This window comes from Homo sapiens, chromosome 2, assembly GCF_000001405.40.
Source record: "Homo sapiens chromosome 2, GRCh38.p14 Primary Assembly".
Lineage (NCBI taxonomy): Eukaryota > Metazoa > Chordata > Mammalia > Primates > Hominidae > Homo > Homo sapiens.
In genome coordinates this window covers 227,601,571-227,609,684 of record NC_000002.12, presented here as the reverse complement: position 1 = coordinate 227,609,684, position 8,114 = coordinate 227,601,571, and the positions used below count along the sequence as shown (strand labels likewise).

Genomic DNA, 8,114 nt, shown 5'->3' with positions numbered 1-8,114 from the left:
TTTGGTAACTAGAGGGCACAAACAACAGAGGCAGGAAGCTACTCTCAGGGTCTTTAACTTGCTCCACGATCACTGCGCATCCACCAAAGGCTTTCTAAGAGAGATTAAGATTTTCTAGAATGTGAGATATGTTCAAACCAAAAAAAAAATGCAAAGATAAACTTTTAATAATATATTTTTATTTTATTAGGAAATTTAGAAAGTAGCTATTGACAAATAGGAATACAAGATAGAAAAGGAGCAGAGAAAAGCACACTAATGGAAATGAAATGATCATATACATCAAAAAGTCTGTTGGGAATCATGATCCTCTTTGATTGAGCTCAGTGATGTGGACTCTTCCTGAAGAGGTAGGTTGTCCTTGTGTCTTTGTTTTGGCTGCTTGATATTAGAGAGGAAACTTTTCACGTAGGCAGACTGGAAACACCCAAAGCAGAAAATACACGAACCCAGAATACAGGAGCAAAGTTACAGTCCAAGAGCATAAGTGCTAGGATACCCAGAGGATGGGTAAGGCAGGTGAATGGGGTGAAGGAAAGTCCCCAGCATATCCTGCCACAGGACGGAGGCCAGGCCAGCCCACCTAACAGCAGCATTGCTTCTGGCAGCAGCACTTCTGCTGGCAACAGCTCTTCCCACAGCCGCAGCCACATGAGCGGCAGGTGCGGCGGCAGCAGCAGATCACAGGTGTGCTGCAGCAGCCCCCACAGCAGCCGCGGCAGCAGGGGCAGCAGCTGGAGCAGCAGCCCACCCGGTACTACCTGCAGGTGGTGTAGCTGCCACAGCCACCACCACAGCCACCACAGCCACCACCGCAGCCACCACCGCAGCCACCACCACAGCCACCACCACAGCCACCACTGCAGCGGCCACCGCAGCCACCACAACCACAGCAACCCATGGCGTCAGTAGAGAAATCTCAGGTGAAGTGAGAAGAGAGGACTCAGGAGAGGTGAGGGAGATACGATGCCTCTTTCTGCTGGGGGTGGAGCTTATATACTAACTCTGGGGGAGAATATTGACCTAAGACTCAATGCCACTTCTCTGTTGTTGCCACTTCCCTTTGGCAAATATCCAAAGCAGAATCTCACATGGCCTTTTGTACACTTCCTTAATGGGTCCTTCTGACTTCAAAAATTTGCTAAATTTAGCTTTCACTTGTTTTTTTAAAGCCATCTATAATATAGAATAGTAAACATCTAACAACTCCCTTTTTTTTTTTTTTTTTTTTTTTTGGTGATTGGAAAAGTCAGAGTGGGGTTACAATTTCCCTTAGCTATTGTACATATCTCCATTGTATCAGCCCAGGACAAAGATTTTTTCATTCCTACGTTATTTGTAACTATTTATTAATTTGCAAAACATCCCTTTAGATGGAGGAGAGCACTTTGAATATGGAAAAGGAAAGAGTGGTCTCAGGTTATGTTATTTTGTCTTCCCCAGGCAGAGCTCCTCGGCCATTTGCTAGCCCTGTAACATGAGTCAGGACTCTCTGATTCAGAGAAGAGGGGATCCTGCATTATCAAGGGTTATGACAGGGCATCCTTCGTGTTGTGCAGATGATAAAAGCATATCCTGAGCAGAACGTTTCCAAGTCACTTTCCAAACTCAAAGAGGCTTCTGTTATCATCAGCCTGTTAAGAAAGGAGGATAATGCTGAAGGCATGTTTCTGGCAGTCCCCTGGAGCCTGGTTGATCCTGGACCAGTCCCCCATGGAATGCTGACTTGAAATGATTAGTTCCAATTGGCCATCCCTATGCAGACTACTCTTTCCTGTCAAAGGAAAAATGAAAATGAAAAATAGAATAGTGAAGGCCATCAATGAAATCTACAGGTTCTAGCCCTGCGTATCTGTTCTCAGAATATAGTGCTCTTATCACTCACCCCAGGCCATGCCAAGGAGCACAAGACAAGGAGAACCCAAGAGTCCTCTCAGGTCCCCGCAGGCCCCAGAGTTGGAGGAACTCTGATTCCCCTGCATGATGGTAAATTTTATGTGTCAACCTGACTGGGTTAAGAGATGTCCAGATAGCTGGTAAACATTATTTCTGGATATGTCTGTTAGGGTATTTCTAAAAGATATTAGCATTTGAATCAGTGGACTGAGTAAAGAAGATCACCTTCACCGTGGGCATTGCTATGGTCTGAACGTGCTCCCCAAAAGTCACGTGTTGGAAATAATTCCAATGCAATAGTGTTGGAAGGTGGGGCCTAATGGGAGGTGTTTAGATCGTGAGGACTCTGCCCTCATGAAGGAACTAATACCACTATAAACAGAGGCCTGTGAGGCCGTGTGTGGTGGCTCATGCCTGTAATCCTAACACTTTGGGAGGCCAAGGTGGGTGGATCACTTTAGGTCAGGAGTTCGAGACCAGCCTGGCCAACATGGTGAAACCCCCATCTCTACTAACAGTACAAAAATTAGCCAGGCATGGTGGTGGGTGCCTGTAATAGCTACTCAGGAGGCTGAGTCAGGAGAATCACTTGAACCTGGGAGTTGGAGGTTGCAGTGAGCCCAGATCACACTCCAGCCTGGGTGACAGAGCCAGACTCCATCTCAAAAAGAAAAAAAAAGGGGGGCCTGTGAGAGTGAGTTCACCCTCTTCTGCTCTTCTGCCAAGAGAGGACACATAGTTTATCTCTCTCTTGCCCTTTTGCCTTCTATCATGCGAAGCTGCAGAAAGGCCTCACCAGATGCCAGTGCTTTAATCTTGGACTTCCCAGCCAAACTGTAAGAGAATAAATTTCTGTTCTTTATAAATTACCCAGTCTCAGGTATTCTGTTATAGCAACAAAAAAAATGGACTAAGGCATCATCCAGTCCATTAAGGGCCCAAATAGAACAAAAGATAGAGTGAGGGGAATTCTCTCTCCCTCCTCTTAAGCTAGAACATCCATCTCCTGCTCTCAGACATCAGCACCCTGGTTCTTGAGTTTCAATTGGACTCTGATTGGGACTTACAGCATTGGCTGCCCTTGTTCTCAGCCCTTCTGATTTGGACTGAATTGCACCACTGGCTTTCCTGGCAGAGAGCAGATCATGGGACTTCTTGGCATCCATAATCACATGAGCCAATTCCCATAATAAATCTCATTTATCTATTCATGTTTCCTACTGGTTCCGTTTCTCAGGAGAACTCTGAATAATAATACCCTGGAATAATATGATCTGGATCTTTTCTTTTTTTTTAAGTTGGAGTCTTGCTCTGTCACTGGGGCTGGAGTGCAGTGGTGTGATCTTGGCTCACTGCAATCTCTGCCTCTCATGTTCAAGCAATTCTCATGCCTCAGCCTCCCAGGTAGCTGGGAATACAGGCACGTGCCACCACACCTGGCTAATTTTTTGTACTTTAGTAGAGATGGGGTTTCAGCGTGTTGCCCAGGCTGGTCTTGAACTCCTGAGCTTAGACAATCCGCCCACCTCAGCCTCCCAGAGTGCTAGGATTACAGGCATGAGCCACCGCACTCAGCCATATGAGCTAGATCTTTAACACTGGCCTTTCTTCAGATTAATTTTTAGTTACTGTACAAGAAGTCTTAAAGATTACTTTTTCGAGAGTGCAACTGCGTACTACTTTTCAATCCAGAAAGATAATGAAGTGGTTCAATACTGTGGTTCTGTTGTACAGCCCTCTAAGTCCTGCCTATACTTAGTTGGCTTCAGGTACCACGTTTCAAGGATGAGCCCCTGTGTAAAATAGTTAGTTTTTGGTTCATATTTTTCCCTCAAATTTTGGAATGTAATAATTTCCTGCCAATGTTTGGTAATTTTTTCCAATATTCCAGATTAAAGACAGAACAGTTAAATTGCTTCAATAACCATATTGTAAAATACACATTAAACAAGCATTTCTTCCATGCCTTCACCTGGTATACATTTCTTTCCAACGTTCTAATCTCCAGGATTTGTCTGTTTTTACTTAAAGAGGCCCATGAACCTCTACTTTGATGCACCGTAATACTTTCCCATCATATAAACTTGCAGGGAGCAGTGTAGTCAATTTAACAAACAGTTGTTGGATTGTCCTCCTCTTAGGAGAAAGTGGCTCCGCAGGGCACACTGTGAGGACTTAACAAGATGAATCCACAAGCTCCCGGTCTGATAAGAAATGCATGAAAAGAGATTCCAATAAAAGCACCTGCAACAAGAACCCTACCGAATGACTTTCTTAGATGTGTGGGGAAAAATAAATCAAGTCTGAGTGTCTGTGGGAGAAGGGGAATGGGAGGAACTCTGACAGGGACTGTCTATCACAGGAAAGGGCTTCAGTAAAGATTGGAGACAGGGGGCTGGGCACGGTGTCTCACGCCCATAATCCCAGCACTTTGGGAGGCCAAGGCAGGCAGATCACCTGAGGTCAGGGTTTGAGACCAGCATGGCCAACATGGCAAAATCCTGTCTCTACTAAAAATACAAAAAATAGCCAAGCGTGGTGGCAGGCACCTGTAATCCCAGTTACTTGGGAGGCTGAGGCAGGAGAATCAGTTGAACCCAGGAGGCAGAGGTTGCAGAGAGCCAAGATTGTGCCATTGCACTCCAGCCTAGGCGAAACTCCATCTCAAAAAAAAAAAAAGATTGGAGACAGGGAAATATGAGGAGTAGTCGGGAATCACCTACTTGCAACTGCTCACTGTTTTCCTACCAATGCTCAATACAATTAGGTCAAAATGTAAATTTCTACATGCAGTGAACGTGCTAGAAAGTGTATTTATTACAAGTCAAGTAGCGAGAATTGTTTCATTAGGTTTCCCCACCCCCACAGCCAACTTTCAAACTAGGTATTCAGATAATTAATGAGGTATGAACAAGTATCACAGTAATGTGGAAATTGCCATTCAGAGGCTCTGCTCTTGACTGAATTAATATCGAATGGATTAACAACAATTTAAAGTTTCTTGTTTTCTGTAAACAAAATTGAATTATTTGTTTGTACCTTGAACATTGTAACTGTGTACTTTTTCTATATTTTGTAAGTAGTGGGAGAGCACGCTTATTTAAGAAAAAAAAGTAATCTGCTTCCCTTTCCTTCTTATAGGAAAGGAAAGAAGGGTTCTGTACACTGCTACACTGCCCTAGAGGAAAAATAAACATCAATGGATGTGGCAAAAGGATGTCCATTAGGGACACTTCACAGAGCCAAAGAGATGATGGATTGGATGGGTTAAGTTGAGAAAAGGTAGACAGAGGTTGAAGAAATCTGGACTCAGGGCACTCCAACATTCTGGTGAATCCTGGACCACCACACATATATACATATATAATATATATGTTATATGTTGTATAAATATGCGTGTATATACATATATATACACACATATATATGTATATGTGTGTGTGTATATATATGTGTGTGTCTGTGTGTGTGTCTGTGTGTGTGTGTGTGTGTATATATATATATATGGACAGATTTTTGCTCTTGTTGCCCAGGCTGGAGCGCAATGGCACAATCTTGGCTCACTGCAACCTCCGCCTCCCAGGTTCAAGCGATTCTCCTGCCTCAGCCCCATGCACATATTTTTAATTTTAGATGTAGGGGGTACATGTGTAGGTTTGTTGCATGGATATATTGCCCACCACCGTATTTAATACTAACAATAATGCCTTCCATTATAAGAGGAATCCCAAAGACTAATTACCCAAAGACTAGACTAGACTCCTACACAGATCACAGATACCATCTAATAGGTTCTTTGCTTTTCTTGAACTTTTAAACCAAAATTAGAAAAAAAATTATATTGGGCAATAACTAGAACTCATTCAAAGTGTATTTGCATTCAGATTCACCTACATACAGGCAGGCAGCTCTGCTCGGCTTCTTGGGGATACACAGTGGTCCCAAGCCCCAATCAGCCAACCTGTAAAATCCAGGTCATTGGAAACCACAGGGGATTCAAATATGTGACCTATTAGTCAGTAGCATAAGTTCCTACATAAAGCATGGCTCAAGTGCATAAGCATGCCAGTTAAATATAACCAGGTGTTGCTGTCCTAAATAGAGGATGCTATTCAGTGCATCTATCCATTAACTTCCTGCTTGTAATCCTATTGTGAAAGATAAACATTTGAGCAAAATCAAACCTAATCAACAAGCATTTGCTGAAACCTTGTAATGTGCAAGGCAATACAGGTGATATAAAGATATATATGTCTAAATTACTTCAAATTAATAAGAGAGATGATAGCGGGCATGGTGGCTCATGCATGTAATCCCAGCACTTTGGGAGGCCAAGGGGGGTGGATCACCTGAGGTCAGGAGTTCAAGACCAGTCTGGCCAATGTGATGAAACCCCGTCTCTACTAAAAATACAAGTGGGTGCCTATAAACCCAGCTACTCGTGAGGCTAAGGCAGGAGGATCACTTGAACTGGGGAGGCAGAGGTTGCAGTGAACCGAGATTGCATTATTGTACTCCAGCCTGGGCGGCAAGAGTAAAACTCCATTGCACTCCAGCCTGGGCAACAAGAGTGAAACTCAGTCTCAAATAAATACATAAAAAAGAGAGATGAGAAGAAATAATTGGGAAAAGTAAGGAAGAAAAAAGATTTAACTAATAGCCCAATAAGAGTTGTCTCAAAGTAGTTGCTGGTGAATATCAAAACTTACAAGAGAAGAGACAAATTACTTCCAATTAGATAGAAGAAAGGGAGGTTTTATGAAGAAGGCAGAGCCTTCTTGAATGGAAAACTGGACTTGAATAGGTGGAGAGGAAGGAGAAGCAGAGGGTAGAGGGTATGGTGCAGTGCAGTCTGGGATTATCCTATGTAAACTGATCCTCTGCTTCTAGAAAGATGTGACCTGATCTTTTTATACCTGAATTCCCTGATGGAAAAATAGTATGTATATCATAGGGTTACTATGAAATGGAAATGTGATAACACATATAAAACACATAGAATAGGGCTTGGGACATAGTAATCACTCAATAAATGTTAGTTATTATTAGAATTTTAACGTAGGCTACACGTTGTTAAGGGAAAATAGAAGACTTATTCAGGAAACAGGAAGGAAAGCAATTTACCTACAGTAGAAAGTTTATCCAATGAAGTTAATAGATATTTAAGCTGGAAATAAAATTTGAGAGTAGTTATGAACTTTAGACTGTGAAGACTTTGATGTTTCTTTTGCAAGTGAATTATATAGCACAATAAAAAATGAATATATAGCATTTCAGGAAGATATATCTGACAGCAGCTTGTAGGATCAAATTAAAAAAGAAAACCTAGAGATGGGTCAGTTAGATGGCTTTAGAGAACTTCATTCCCATTAAAAATTCTCAAATGCCAACAGTCTTCTTGAAATTCTTGTTCATCGTACTATATTACAGTAATGGATACAATAAAGATAATTCCCCAAAGCGATTACAGTCAACAACAGAAACACAAGCTGAACATGTGCCCTGTTATTCTTTGCCGACAGAACAATCACACCGTGCTGCACGCTTCTTTGCCAGGTGTTGTGCTGGGCGCTGGGCATGGGTGGGAGTGAGAGGGATGATCTACGAAGGTGACTGAGACAGCCTCAAAGCGGCACGTGTGTGCATGAACTCGGGAAGATAAAGATGGGAAACGAGGAAACGGAAAAAGGAAATGGTTCTCATAGGCTGAGGGCAGACTGAGCAGATGTTCCTAGTCCAACGTCAAACAGGTTTTTTTTTGTTTGTTTTTTTGTTTTTTTGAGACGGAGTCTCGCTCTGTCACCCAGGCTGGAGTGCAGTGGCGCGATCTCGGCTCACTGCCAGCTCCGCCTCCCGGGTTCACGCCATTCTCCTGCCTCAGCCTCCCGAGTAGCTGGGACTACAGGCGCCCGCTACTACCCCTGGCTAATTTTTTGTATTTTTAGTAGAGAGGGAGTTTCACCGTGTGAGCCAGGATGGTCTCGATCTCCTGACCTTGTGATCCACCCACCTCGGCCTCCCAAAGTGCTGGGATTACAGGCGTGAGCCACCGCGCCCGGCGAAAAAGTTTTGCTAAAGATATGTGAGGGGCCCATTGGTCACTGGGAGAGCAGTCGCAGGCCCTGTCTATGGAGGGAAATGAGATCTGAGCTGAACCCTGAGGAAGGAGAGGAGAACCAACTCCCTGAAAGAGCTCTGGCGCCCCACGTGGTCCTGCC

At 43.5% G+C, this 8,114-nt stretch overlaps 1 pseudogene across 1 annotated transcript, besides 1 other annotated feature; it reads right to left on the bottom strand.

Annotated features, from left to right (window-relative positions):
- Window positions 1-583: 583 nt before the first annotated feature.
- On the bottom strand, window positions 584-901 carry SCYGR10 (small cysteine and glycine repeat containing 10 (gene/pseudogene); annotated as a pseudogene). Its single transcript, NR_173327.1, has one exon. The product of NR_173327.1 is annotated as a small cysteine and glycine repeat containing 10 (gene/pseudogene), transcript variant 1, non-coding (transcript).
- Window positions 1,465-1,665: a silencer, noted in NCBI's record as "peak4071 fragment used in MPRA reporter construct". NCBI's record gives its function as "represses an SCP1 promoter by STARR-seq MPRAs in K562 erythroleukemia cells {active_cell/tissue: K562}" and the evidence as "EXISTENCE:reporter gene assay evidence [ECO:0000049][PMID:32103011]".